General features: G+C 37.8%; 1 protein-coding gene across 27 annotated transcripts in view; it reads right to left on the reverse strand.

Moving 5' to 3' along the window:
* The window catches only part of DENND4A (DENN domain containing 4A), a 133,171-nt gene that overhangs the window by 73,262 nt on the left and 44,873 nt on the right, over positions 1 to 15,036 (reverse strand). For all 27 annotated transcript variants that reach the window (NM_001376920.1, XM_047432100.1, XM_047432097.1 and 24 more), the window contains 4 exons: positions 9,331 to 9,400; positions 6,322 to 6,491; positions 5,323 to 5,561; positions 368 to 434 (listed from right to left, as the gene is read on the reverse strand). In NM_001376920.1, the coding sequence (NP_001363849.1) occupies positions 368 to 434; positions 5,323 to 5,561; positions 6,322 to 6,491; positions 9,331 to 9,400 (546 nt within the window). The remainder of the gene's footprint in view (positions 1 to 367; positions 435 to 5,322; positions 5,562 to 6,321; positions 6,492 to 9,330; positions 9,401 to 15,036) is intronic.

Below are 15,036 nucleotides of genomic sequence, written 5' to 3' on the forward strand. Positions count from 1 at the left end.
ACTCTTATCTATGTTTTGAAATTTATGCACACACAACTTTCCCTTAACTTATTAAATAACTGCCAAAGGCACAAACTTTCAAATACCTACAACAAATTTAGGGGAAAAAAGTTCCTTTCTGTGTATTCAAAATGTCTACTTCAACCTACTTCTTTAATTCTTGAACCCGTTCTCTAAGAAAAGCAGGAGATGTCTGGGAGGAGTTAATAAAACATTAAGGGCCCAAACTACAACAGGTAATAGTATCTGGTTCTCTCTAAATCTCATTAGGTTTTTTTCCTCATTCAGAATTGTTATTCTTATGTTACATTTTGACAGAGCCAATAACAACTCATAGGTCCCCCAATCAAAAACAAAAAAACCTTACCTGAACTAAAATCCGTGGTCTCTGAGGAGATGGAAAAGGAACTTTATGCATAAAATGAGAAATATGCCTTGAAAACAAACAAAAGTGTAAGTGATTCCAAAGTGAACGTCATATGCTATAAAGCTCAACATGTCATCACAAGTCCAAGTTGAGTCAAAGCCCTGTGTCCCTATTATTTTGAAATCCCTAATACTATGAAAACAAGTGAACAACCAAAAATCATTCATCCCATTAAAGTTGCTTCTGCCTAAACCCAGTGACTTTTCACATTAATAGGCATTCACATTCAACAATATTTGTTATCACTGTCTTAAAAGTCTGTTTAACTTTTACCTAGATAGTATGCAATATATCAGTGATGTGGAAATTACCCAAAAAGTAAATTCTTACATTTACAATATGCTTTTTAGTCAATTGCTTGTCTTATGTACAACAAACACTTAAGGTGCTCCAGAAAAAATGAAACAGTTTAATACTTCTAAAAACTGAACAGTATTCTTTCTATTAATAATACGTTAAAAATTATATTACTGATTTTGTAGGTTTTTTCCCCAGAATAAGATGGATAAAAAGCTAGATCTATGGATTTTGTTTTTAACACTATGGAACAGAAAAAAAGCAACCATAGTGAAAAATCTTTCCTAGGGGGGAATAAGCTATTTTATTTCTGAATTTTTTTAAAAATTTTTGTTCCAGTCTGAATATGTTTGTATTATTTTTTAAAAAACATTATTTCAAAATCATCTTGGTTTCAGAATGGAGAAAATTTCAACTAGATAGACAATATTAGAAATTTATTAATTTACAAATATGTTTTGACTGTTTACTATATAAAAACACACCAACAGACATGACAGGATATGTAAAAAAGTCATAAAAAGCCACCAATGTCTACCATTAATGTGGGGAAAAGCAAGAGAGATCAGATTGTTACTGTGTCTGTGTAGAAAGAAGTAGACATAGGAGACTCCATTTTGTTCTGTACTAAGAAAAATTCTTCTGCCTTGAGATTCTGTTAATCTATGACCTTACCCCCAACGCCGTGCTCTCTGAAACATGTGCTGTGTCAAACTCAGGGTTAAATAGATTAAGGGTTGTGCAAGATGTGCTTTGTTAAACAGATGCTTGAAGGCAGCATGCTCCTTAACAGTCATCACCACTCCCTAATCTCAAGTACCCAGGGACACAAATACTGCGGAAGGCCGCAGGGACCTCTGCCTAGGAAAGCCAGGTATTGTCCAAGGTTTCTCCCCATGTGATAGTCTGAAATATGGCCTCGTGGGAAGAGAAAGACCTGACCGTCCCCTAGCCCGACACCTGTAAAGGGTCTGTGCTGAGGAGGATTAGTATAAGAGGAAGGCATGCCTCTTGCAGTTGAGACAAGAGGAAGGCATCTGTCTCCTGCCCGTCCCTGGGCAATGGAATGTCTCGGTATAAAACCCGATTGTACGTTCCATCTACTGAGATAGGGAAAAACCGCCTTAAGGCTGGAGGTGGGACATGCGGGCAGCAATACTGCTTTGTAAAGCATTGAGATGTTTATGTGTATGCATATCTAAAAGCACAGCACTTGATTATTTACCTTGTCTGTGATGCAAAGACCTTTGTTCACGTGTTTGTCTGCTGACCCTCTCCCCACTATTGTCTTGTGACCCTGACACATCCCCCTCTCGGAGAAACACCCAAGAATGATCAATAAATACTAAGGGAACTCAGAGGCTGGCGGGATCCTCCATATGCTGAACGCTGGTTCCCCGGGTCCCCTTATTTCTTTCTCTATACTTTGTCTCTGTGTTTTTTTCTTTTCCAAGTCTCTTGTTCCACCTAACGAGAAACACCCACAGGTGTGGAGGGGCAACCCACCCCTTCAATTAAAGTACTCATAATCTAAACAAACGTCAAGCAGGGGATGAATACCACAGCACATACATCTGCTTGAACTATGAAGTAGTTAGAACAGAAGAAAACAAAGTGTGATCCAAAAACCCCTAAAGATATTCAAGATCCATTCAGGGAAGATCTGCAAGGTCACAGCTATTTTTATAATAATAGTATGATGTTGGCCAGGCGCGGTAATCCCAGCACTTTGGGAGGCTGAGGCGAGTGAATTGATTGAGCCTAGGAGTTCAAGACCAGCCTAGGCAACATGGTGAAATCCTGTCTCTACAAAAAATACAAAAATTAGCCAGGCATGGTGGCATGTGCCTGCAGTCCCAGCTACTTGGAGGGGCTGAGGTGGGAGGATGGCTTGAGCCCAGGAGGTCCAGGCTGCAGTTAGCCATGATCATGCCACTGCACTCCAGCCTGGGCAACAGAGTGAGACACTGATTCAAAAACAAAAACAGGCAAGGCGCGGCGGCTCACACCTGTAATCTCAGCACTTCGGGAGGCCAAGGTGGGCGGATCACTTGATGTCAGGAGTTTGAGACCAGCCTGGCCAACAGGGTAAAACCCTGTCTCTACCAAAAATACAAAAATCAGCCAGGTGTGGTGGCACACACCTGTAATTCCAGCTACTCAGGAGGCTGAGGCATGAGAATCACTTAAGCCCAGGAGGCAGAGGTTGCAGTGAGCCAAGATCACGCCACTATACTCCAGCCTGGGCGACAGAACCAGACTCTGTGTCAAAAAACGAAAACAAAAAGAAAAAAACAAGCAAACAAAAAATTATATGATGTCATTTGCTTTCTGCACAATGTTGACATTTGCACTGACAGTGCAAGAGCATTGTGGGTAAAACTGCTGGTGACTTACTATGAATCAAGGCAGTGGCACCAAAGTGTACTAGTAGTTGCTATATTCTTTACTACTATATAATTGCAGTAAAAGAGTGTCAATATTGGCAGTAAATATTACTAATTTTATTAAGTTTTGGCTGTAGTGTACATTTTTAAAATTCTGTATGATGAAAGGGAAACTATACATAAATAACTTCTGCTGTATACAGAAGCACAATGGTTGTCTTGATTTTGGAAATACACTTGTGCAACTGAGTTGTGAGTGAACTTGCTGGTTTTCTCCCACAGAGTGCAATTTTTGTTTGAAAGATGACTGACAGGCCAGGTGTGGTGGCTCACACCTGTAATCCCCAGCACTCTAGGAGGCCGAGGCAGGTGTTTCACCTGAGGTCAGGAGTTCGAGACCAGCCTCACCAACATGGCAAAACCCAATCTCTACCAAAAATACAAAATTAGACAAGCATGGTGGCACACGCCTGTAATCCCAGCTACTGGCAATATTTGCCAATAATTAAATACAAACTTTCAAGTGGAAATTACAATTTCGCCACCATGAGCTTGAAAGCTTCCTAATGCTCAAAAACTTTTCTAAGATGGGGGTGATATTAACAAATGTGATTTTTTAATATTAATAATAAAATGTGTCTACATTTGGAAGATGGGATTAACTTGGCAAATCAGTATTTAACAAATGACCAATGCACAATGCTACAAAATAATGCATAAGTGAAAGTTCCACCCAAAAAGTCAAACAGAACAATAGATTTTTTTATTTTTTATTTTTTTGGAGATGGAGTCTCGCTCTGTCGCCCATACTGGAGTGCAGTGGCATGATCTTGGCTCACTGCAACCTCCGCCTCCCAGGTTTAAGCAATTCTCCCTGCCTCAGCCTCCAGAGTAGATGAGATTACAGGTGCCCACAACCACAGCTGGCTTTTGTATTTTTTTTTTTTTTTAGTAGAGACAGGGTTTCACCATGTTGGCCAAGCTGGTTTTGAACTCCTGACCTCAGGTGATTCACCTGCCTCAGCCTCCCAAAGTGTCGGGATTACAGGTGTGAGCCACCACACCTGCCCAGACCAATAGATTTTAATGTAACTGACAAAGTTCACTACTACAGTTTTAGATTGCAAATAACCTGTAAGAAACCAGCATTTGTCAAGCTTGGTGCAGTGTCAAAAAAAAGAATATCCCAAACTTTCTGAAAATATGATCCAAAATCCCTCCCTTTTCTACCTACATATCTGTGGGAGGCCAGGCTTTCTTTGTATATTTCAACCAAAACAACTACTGCAACAGATTGAATGCAGACCATATATGGAAGCCCAGCTATGTTTAATTAAGCTAGACATTAGAGATCTGCAAAAATGTAAAACAATGCCATTCTGCTCACTAAAGTTTTTTTAGTTTTGGAAAAGTTATTTTTCAAAAAAGACATTTATATTAACATGCAATGGGTGTGTTATCTTTAAAATAAATTGATCTGGCGATTCCATTACTGCATATATTGCCAAAGGAAAAAAAATGCATTCATCTAATTTCTCCTTTACATTCATTATATGTAAATACGGTAAGGAAATTTTTTTTTTTTGAGGCAGGGTCTCCCTCTGTCACCCAGGCTGGAGTGTAGTGGCATGATCGTGGCTTACTGCAACCTCTGCTTCCCGGGTTCAAGTGACTCTTGTGCCTTGGCCTCCTGAGCAGCTAGGACTACAGGCATGGGCCATGTCCAACTAATTTCTGTAGTTTTGTAGAGATGGGGTTTCACTATGTTGCTCAGGCTGGTCTCAAACTCCTGGACTCAAGAGATCTGCCTGCCTTGGCTTCCCAAAGTGCTGAGATTATGGGCGTGAACTATTGCACTCAGCCCCAGTAAGAAATATTTGTAAAGGTTCATAATAAATTTAAATTATATGTAAAATAAGAATTTAAAAATTAGTAAAAAATTTTCAGCATCTGTCCAGATTAGGATCTCTAAACTTCCCAAGAGCATTAAACAAATGAAACATTAATTTCATCTCACTGGAGATAAAATTATTTTAAATAACAAGACTACAAACATACAATGGAGAAATACTACCTGACTGAAATAAACCATTTTTTTCAAATAACTCTTGAGAAATCTAGTATCCATATAAAATTTACCCAGTTGCCGACACAAATTTGCCACATAATGGAAAGATCTGTCAAATGTTGAACCAAGAACACTTAACTTACTTCTCAATTGGAAGGACATGAGGCCCAGAGATGGAATAACGATACAGAAAAGTCAGAAACTTCCTGAATGCATCAAAAAAAGGCCAGTGAGAAAGAAGACAGATGCATTTGTTAGTATGAATTGTTTTGGAACTATCAGACTTCCCATCTGCTGATGTTAAACCCAAAAGAAGTCTCTGCTTTTCTGTGAGATTCTCCTCAGAGTATGGTTCATAAAACTGAATAGCAGCACCATAAACCTGCAAAACAAGTAATATATCCAGTAAATATACTTTGTATCATATATCCAAATCACATCATCAGTTAAATATTTAATAAATGCTTGCTATGAGCCAGGTGAGAGGCCAGGTATTAAGAACACAGTGATGAAGAGACACCCCTCCTGCTTTCTTGATGTATCTAAGAACTATATAGTGCTATTCTCATGTTACCTTACTACTGAAAGAAAAGGTGTTTTGATTAAATTTATTTGTTTTATAAAGAGTGGAAGCAATTTTATCAATATTCTCTATAAGAAAATGATTGAAAATAATTACTTGGTAGAAAGTGAGATGAAACTTTAGATAACGAAATACAAATTCCAACTTTGGGCAATTCATTGAATTTCTCGGGACATCAATTTCCCTATCCATAAAATGAGGACATTAGACTTGATAATGTCCAAGGTCCCTTCCAACTATCATGTCTATAATTCTAAATTGCATTATATATTTAATAATGTTACTTTCAAAGCTTCTTTATCACAGAAAATGAATAAATGAAGGATCATCATTTGATGATGAAAAAATCTTTCACCATAATCACAAAAAAGCATTTAGGTGGATGGGACAGAATAAAAATTCTCTTTTCCTATGTCCCTGGATACAGTTATTTTAATCAACTGGAAAAGTATGCATAATCATTCAATTTAATCAGTTTTTCCCCTACTATTCCTTGCATTATAGAAAACTTGAAAATGTACAAGAAATTTGTAGATACAATTTGTCAAACACATAATACCTTTTCAGCTGAGGCTCCAGTTAAAACAAAAGTAGAAAATACAGGCAGAGGGTATTTGCTATTTGATGGCCAACATTCAATGGTTGCACCCATTGGTAAACAAAATAGAGGAACAGATTCCGGTAGTGAGAATGACTCATAATCTTCTTGAGGATATCTACAAATTAGGCCTATAAAAACAACAATAAATATTAGGTCATCATCTCTTGAATTTAGGTACTTATTATTTCAATGATGATAAAATGCTTTGTTATTTCACACATTTGGAATGCCAAAGCATTATATATATGTTCATCAAATAACACTGAATACTTTGGTAGGATTCATAGAGATTTTAATCCTTGAACATTACAACTATTAACTAACTGCTTAATATTTATCAAGCTTCATCTATAAAGGCTATGTTAAAGCTAACAAGAAAAAGATATCCTATAGAAATGCACAAACATACTCCTAAAAATTCAGCTTGTGGTCACACTACCTTAGAAAGAATACTAAGTTTTTGAAATTTTCAATATGGTTTATTTTCATCTATCTACTTCATCAGCTCTCAATAACTTTTACACATTAAAATTCATATCCCATAGGAGTATATGTTAATTTCTAGCACAAATACAGGAAAATTTTTCATAAAAATAGAAGAGTCACATATTTACAATGTCTTAGGAATAGTATCAACTCAAGCTCAGCTTCTAAATAACACCAGGTTATATGAAGATAGAGTTTTAAGTTGCCTATGATTTCACATTAGGTAAACTAATGTTTACATTAGGAAAACGGTCCAGGCATCTTCCACTGAATACACTCCAGGAAGAACCTTGTACCTCATTTTGTGGAACTAGAAACAGAAAATAGGTTCCCTGGCCATAAAGCCCTTAAAGTCAAGTAGAAACTATCACTAGACAGCCACAAAGACAAAAAGATAAACTGGGGGAATATAAGTGGTTGTTGGTTCTGCCACTAATATATCTGTGGCTTTGGACAAATGACATACTACAGGAGTATGGTTTTCTCATCTATAAAATCAGATGAAGTAGATAAACTAAGGTCCAAGGCAGTTCTAAAATTATTTAATTACATGCTAGCCAGCAAGTAGGTCCCATGAGGATCTATAGTTAACTCTGTACTACTCTCTCAGGTCATGAGGTAATTAATAAAGTCATAAAGTAAGTATAGAAATAGTGATGAAGGCCGGCTGGGCGTGGTGGCTCATGCCTGTAATCCTAGCACTTTGGGAGGCCGAGGCGGACAGATTGCCTGAACTCAGGAGTTCAAGACCAGCCTGGACAACACGGTGAAACCCCATCTCTACTAAAATACAAGAAATTAGCCAGGTGTGGCTGTGTGTGCCTGTAGTCCCAGCTACTCGGGAGGCTGAGGCAGGAGAATTGCTTGAACTCGGGAGGCGGAGGTTGCAGTGAGCCAAGATCGTGCCACTGCACTCCAGCCTTTCAATGGTTGCACCCATTGGTAAACAAAATAGAGGAACGGATTCTGGTAGTGAGAATGACTCATAATCTTCTTGAGGATATCCACAAATTAGGCCTAGGGCAACACAGTGAGATTCCATCTCCCAAAAAAAAAAAAAGAAAGAAAAAAAAAGAAATATTGATGAGAGCCAGTAGCCAGCACAGCAGCTCACGCCTGTAATCTCAGCACTTTGGGAGGCTGAAGTGGAAGGATCACTTGAGCGAAGGAGTTCAAGAGCAACCTGGGCAATACAGCAAGACTCCATCTCTACTAAAAAAAAAAAAAAAAAAATTAGCCAGGCACGGTGGCACATGCCACCATGTACTCTCGGTAGTCTCAGCTACTTGGGAGGCTGATGTGGGAGGACTGCTTGAGCCCAGGAGTTCAAGGTTGCAGTGAACTATGATCCCACGACTGCACTCTAGACTAGGCAACAGAGCAAAACCTTGTCTTTAAAAGAAAAAAAAAAAAAGGTGATAAATTGTAGATCTAAAAATATCAAAGGCCGGGTATGGTGGCCCTCACCTGTAATCCCATCACTTTAGGAGGCTGAGGCAAGAGGAGCGCTTGAGCCCAAGAGTTTAAGACCAACCTGGGCAACCTAAGAAAGACCCTGTCTCTACAAAAATTTAAAAAATTAGCCAGGCATGCTGGGACACTCCTATAGTCCAAGGTACTAGGGAGACTGAGGCAAGAGGATACCTTGAGCACAAGAGTCTGAGGTTGCAGTGAGCTACAATCATACCACTGTACTCCAGCCTGAGCAACCGAATGAGACCCCGTACCCCCCCCAAAAAAAATCAAATGTAAAAGAGAAACTTGAGTCTAGAACTCTAAACACACACGTATATAAATGTATATGTATATATGTATATATTTTTAAAGATGGGGTCTATGTTGCCCAGGCTGGTATATATGTATATATTTTTAAAGATGGGGTCTATGTTGCCCAGGCTGGTCTTGAACTCCTGGGCTCAAGCAATCCTCCTGCCTCAGCCTCCGAAAAAACTGGAACCACAGGCACATGCCACCATGCCCTGCATAAAAGCAATTTTTAAAAGGCTGAATCTGTTCTCTTGTAAATAAGGTCACTATGTTTGGTATTTTGAGGTCTCTGAAAATTGGACATTTTGACTATGGATTATAAAACTCCAAATTGGTTTATAATATTTTCCATTATTATGAAACATGATTTCATGTGAACTACAGCTCTTACTAAATTTAAGTATTAAAGAAATATTAATTTAAAATGAAAATACATTTTACCATATTTCTGCTGATTTAAAAACTTAAAGATAATTGAGATCTTATTATTTATTTAAACCCAAGGCTTAAAATAAAAACTCACCTTATTTTAAAATTAATCTTCCATCAAGCATCCAATAAACATATAAGTGAAGACAAAAATGAGAATCAGAAGATACGGATTGTAGTCCCAGTCCTGATACTAACACAGACTAGGCAGGTTTCTTTACTTTAACCTTTCCGGGCCCTATAATACATTTATATATGAAGTATTGCATGAAAAATTACACTTACCAGCTTTGTAAGATACAGTGTTCGTCTTTGCCACCGATTTTTTATAACACAAGTATACTGCTGATCCCCACTGGATTTAAAAAAATAGAAATATCATTTAATTTTTAAAAGGTAGGAACTTGATAAAATGGAATCTCTTTGAGCTCTCTAGTATGTATTATCTAATATGTAGTAACAAATTTCCCTCTGCTAGCTATTTTCAGTTGGCTGTTTTGTCAATATTTTATTGGAATCACTGTCCACTTTTCTTTCAGAAGTAAATTACTACTTTTTTCCCCTTGCAACAGCAATAACATGAGGAAAACTTGACTCTTTTAAACAAAGCTAAGTCACAACCATTTAGATTTTATTCTGAGTCCAAACTGTGGGTATAAATGATAAACTATAAAGTATCTACTCAAGTGCATACCTTTGACTCCACAATCTGTTTCAGATATTGCCAGGTTTTTCTGCAATCCTTTATGCCTCAAGAGTTGTAATTTGTTAAGTCCACTTCCTTATTTCCTACTTTCTCCCAAATTCATTTCCAATCAGGCTTTAATTACCACTCCTTAAAAGAATAACTTAACTTTCAAATCTTTTTTTTTTAAATGGAGTCTCGCTCTGTCACCCAGGCTGGAGTGCAGTGGTGCGATCTTGGCTCACTGCAATCTCTGCCTCCTGGGTTCAAGTGATTCTCATGCCTCAGTCTCCCAAGTAGCTGGGATTACAGGCACGTGCCACCATGACTGGCTGATTTTTTTTTTTTTTTTTGAGATAGAGTCGCAATGGTGCAATCTCAGCTCACTGCAACCTCCGCCTCCCAGGTTCAAGTGATTCTCCTGCCTCAGCCTCCTGGAGTAGCTGGGATTACAGGAACATGCCACCATGCCCGGCCAATTTTTGTATTTTTAGTAGAGATGGGGTTTCACCATGTTGGCCATGGTGTTGGCCAGGCTGGTCTCGAACTCCTGACCTCAGGTGATCTGTCCGCCTCGGCCTCCCAAAGTGTTGGGATTACAGGCGTGAGCCACTGTGCCCAGCCTCTTTTTATTCTTAAGATTATTTATCATTACATGCTATATTTGTTTGTTTATTGTCTTTCTGACTTGAATATATGCTCAATGAGGGTAGGGATTTTGTTTTCTTCACCACTGTACTCCCAGAGGCTCACACATAGTAGTTAAATAAGTTTTACTAAATAAATATATACATAATTTATTTAAAAGTTTTGAAATAAGGGTAAAATAGTTTTATGAAACACATTCCTTACACAATCCATGCACATGAAGAAGTGTAATGTCATTGATAATTAAAAGGAGTATATAATAAGTTTTTATTATTACAATTTAACGTGATTTGTACAACTCCACCCCTAGTACCCTGGATTGCAATAATCTCCCAAACGGTCTTCCTCCTTCCACCTTTGCTTCCCGCCACAGTCTATCACTACATAAACGAGTGATCCTTTTAAATCAAATGTCAGAGCATGTCACTATTCTGTTCAAAATCTCAGTCTCTCTCAGAATAAAAGCTAAAGTCCTTACAATCACCTAAAGGCCCTAATCATCTACCCCCAATTCCAATCTCTTTATTCTCCCCATAATTTATTCTGCTTTAAGACACACCATTTTCCTTATTGTTCCTAAAACATGCCAGGAATGGTCCCTCCTTGAGGCCTTTTGCACAGACTGTTCCCTATATTTCAAACATTCTTTGCCTGTGATATCTGAATGATTAACTTCCTTACTGCCTTCAAATATTACTTTCAAATAAGGGCTTCCCTGACCACTCAATTTAAAATTGCAACCCATTCCCCTCTACTCCCAATCCCCTTTTATGATACTTTTAGGTTTTCTTTTTTACTACAGCACTTAACACTTTCTAACATACTATACTTTAAAAGTTATTTGTTTAAAATTTATTATCATCTATTTTCCTCCACTCTGATAAGTTCTACATTCTGTTATCATTAATACCTAAAACAGTGCCTGGTGCATTACAGGTACTCCATAAAGTATTTGCTGAATGAATTAATCTTGGAGCAGAGGTTTCTAGGTAGAAGGAATGTCAAGAGGAAAGGCCCTGATACAAAAGTATGCCCGTCATGACCTAAGAGCTAAAGAGGCAATGACAGCAGAGAAGAGTAAATGAAATACTGATGGGAGATAAGGAAGCCAGATCATGTGGGTCCTTTTAGGCTGTTTTAAGGATTTTGGCTTCTATTACTCTTGGAGATAGTGAAAGCCACTGGAGGGTTTTGAGCAGAAGAGAGGCATTATCTGACATACAGTTAAAAGGTCACTCTGAGTACTATGTTGAGAAGTGGGGGTGGGAGACAAGGAAGAAAGCAAGTACTCATAATTATTTTGTATCAGTAATCCAGGCAAAAATTATGAGAGTTTGAATAAGGGTAGCAACAGTGGGAATGATGAAAAGAGGTCAGATTCTGGGTATATTCTGAAAATACAGACAAAAAAAAATCCTATCTGATTATATGAAGTACAGTATAAGAGTCAAAGATGATGCCAATGCCTGAGTAACAGGAAGGAAGAAACTCAATTGAGATGGAGAAGACTGTGGATAAAGCAGGTTTGGGGTGAAGATAAGGGGTTCAGTTTTAGACATGTTAAGTTTGAAACATCTATTAGACATCCAAGTGAAGAACTAAATAGAGCTAAGGTAAGCGGTCTGAAATGGACACACAAACTTGAGAGAGGTCACCATTTGATGTATAGGTGATGAGAGAAATTTACATGGCACACTTCCTCACCTCCATGGGGTATCAACTCAAACATCATCTTATCAGAGAGTCTTCCTTTCACCATTTTACATATAATAACAAGGCTCCCTCCACCCTGCCCAGTCCTCCCCATCACCCCTCTCTTGCATTTTTTTTCCTCCTTAGCATGTATCACCATTTGGTGTATTATATATTTTCTTAACTATTATCTGAATACAAAAAAGTTTACTTACATAAGACTAAGTAAACATTAGTGGGTAGCTCTGAGAGACTCATAAAGTATAAGCTTTTAGTGTCTGAACTTTGTATCTATTTTGAATGTACAGAAGCCTTTTTGTTGGCTTGTTTCTCATGTAATCCTTTCAAGAATTAAATAAGAATTGTACTTGAGTCATTTCTGAATAAAAAATGCATTATATACCTGTCAAAAGCCAGGTGACAAGAGGTGACAAGTAGTTACTTAAAGGTAACGACTAAAACTTTGGAAAAATATCAGTATTACAGAAAATACAGACAAGTTACATAAGTATTTTCATGTAAGAAGCCAAGTGTCTGAATATAAATTATTTTCCAACTTTGGTTTCTCTGATATTTAGTTCACACTCACTTAATCAAGTTCTCATTTAGATGTACTTAAAAATCTGATGAATAACAATGAGAAGATATCATAAATAGCACTATATGATCATTTAATAATATTTTATCAAGAAATGACAATCTCCTGAGTATTCAAAAACATAAATCTTTGCTTTTCAACTTTAAGTATCTGTCAGCCTTCCAAATACTGAATAGCTAACAGCATAATGTGGTCAAACTAAAGTGAAAGAGAATAATATTCAAATATCTCTCTTATTTAAAACACACAATACACATAAAATAATATGTCTGGCTATCTGCAAATATCTTACTAAAAAATAAAAACCCTTAACCTTTTATTTTAATATAGTTTAATGAATTATGTTGAGATTGTAGCCTTGGGAAATTTTCTCTTGATGGAAAAATATTAAAGCATTTATAAAAATAAAATCCCAACACAGCAATGAACATAAGCAACATTTAACACACTAATCTACTGGAAAAATATTTTTTAAGTCACATGAATATGTAAAAGTCAAGCAGATATTATGAATATAGGCAAACAAATTTTGGTTTATCAAATGGATAAAAAAAATTTTATAAAAATGGGCTCTCTATTGGAAAGTCCCAACTCTACTTCCCAATAAATCCAATTTGTAAAGATAGCAAGAAAACTTCAATAATAACTTTGGTGACAATAAAAAAAGAACTATATGACCATTTGGATATAGTAGAAACCAAAAGGAATATTCTATAATGAAAAACAAGGAGTTAGAAATGCAGTATAAGTTACGGGGCTCTGTAGGAAAGAGAACCATGGATATTAAAATTAAGAGCGGGGCCAGGCATGGTGGCTCATGCCTGTAATCCCAGCACTTTGGAAGGCCGAGGTGGGCGGATCACCTGAGGCCAGGAGTTTGAGACCGGCCTGGCCAACATGGTGAAACCCCGTCTCTACCAAAAAAAAAAAATACAAAAATTAGCAGGATGTGGTGGCGGGCACCCTTAATCCCAGCTACGCAGGAGGCTGAGGCAGGAGAATCCCTTGAACCCAGGAGGCGGAGGTTGCGGTGTGCAGAGATCATACCATCGCACTCCAGCCTGGGCGACAAGAGTGAAACTCCGTCTCAAAAAAAAAAAAAAGGAATTAAAAGCATTTTCCAAATTTTTTTACACACAAGGTTCAAGGTGAAAAAAGAAGGAGGCATTGTTCTAAAACTACTTTAAACTCTCTACCAATAAGTATCCACATTGTGGTTTGCCACAGCAAAAACGTACTTTCAAATTCTTCCTCTTTCCCCCAGAATTAGGTACATGATTTAATTACTTCCCTTGTTAACAATTCTACTTTTTTCTCTTTTTTTTTTTTTTTTTTTTTTTTTTTTTTTTTTTGAGACGGAGTCTCGTTCTGTCACGCAGACTGTAGTGCAGTGGCATGATCTCGGCTCACTGCAACCTCTGCCTCCCAGGTTAAAGCAATTCTCCTGCCTCAGCCTCCCGAGTAGCTGGGATTACAGGTGTGCACTACCAGGCCTGGCTAATTTTTGTATTTTAGTAGAGACAGGGTTTCAGCATGTTGGCCAGGCTGGTCACGAACTCCTGACCTCAAGTGATCCAACTGCCTCAGCCTCCCAAAGTGTTGGGATTACAGGTCACAGCACCCGGCTCAATTCTACTTTTCTAAGTAAACTCGCTAAATCAAATGCTGACATTCTTGGACAGTTGTAAAACAAGAGCCATGTGGAAAGAGTATTTAAAAAATACCCTTAAGGAGACTCAGCCAGGTGCAGTGGCTCACATCTGTAATCCCAGCACTTTGGGAGGCCGAGGCAGGCGGATCACTTGAGATCAGAAGACCAGCCTGGCCAATATGGTAAAACCCTGTTCTCTACTAAAAAAATGGTAAAACCCTGTCTCTACTAAAAAAAAAAAAAAATACAAAAAATGGCCGGGCGTGGTGGCGCATGCCTGTAATCCCAGCTACTCGGGAGGTTGGGATAGGACAATCACTTGAACCCAGGAGGTGGAGGTTGCAGGGAGCCGAGATCGCACCACTACACTCCATCCTGGGTGACAAAGTGAGACTCTGTTTAAAAAAAAAAAAAAATACTCTTAACGAGAGTCAAAAACTAAGGAGATAGTCTCAAATTTGCCAAAAATTAGCTGTGTGTTTTAAAGCAAGTCAAGCAAGCTACCTGGACTAAATATTCTTCTTCACAAATTTTTGCAATTTTAGATTGTATGACCACTCTAAGTTCTCATCCAGCTCTAAAATACTGTAATTATGTTCTAATATCAAATCAAAGTCCAAATCATTTAAGGCTATGGTCCAAGGTTTAAAACAAAGTAATTTTTGAAAACTCTTTCTATAAGCTTAATATGGATTAAACTAGATGCTATTATCATCC

Source organism: Homo sapiens, chromosome 15 (assembly GCF_000001405.40).
Source record: "Homo sapiens chromosome 15, GRCh38.p14 Primary Assembly".
NCBI lineage: Eukaryota > Metazoa > Chordata > Mammalia > Primates > Hominidae > Homo > Homo sapiens.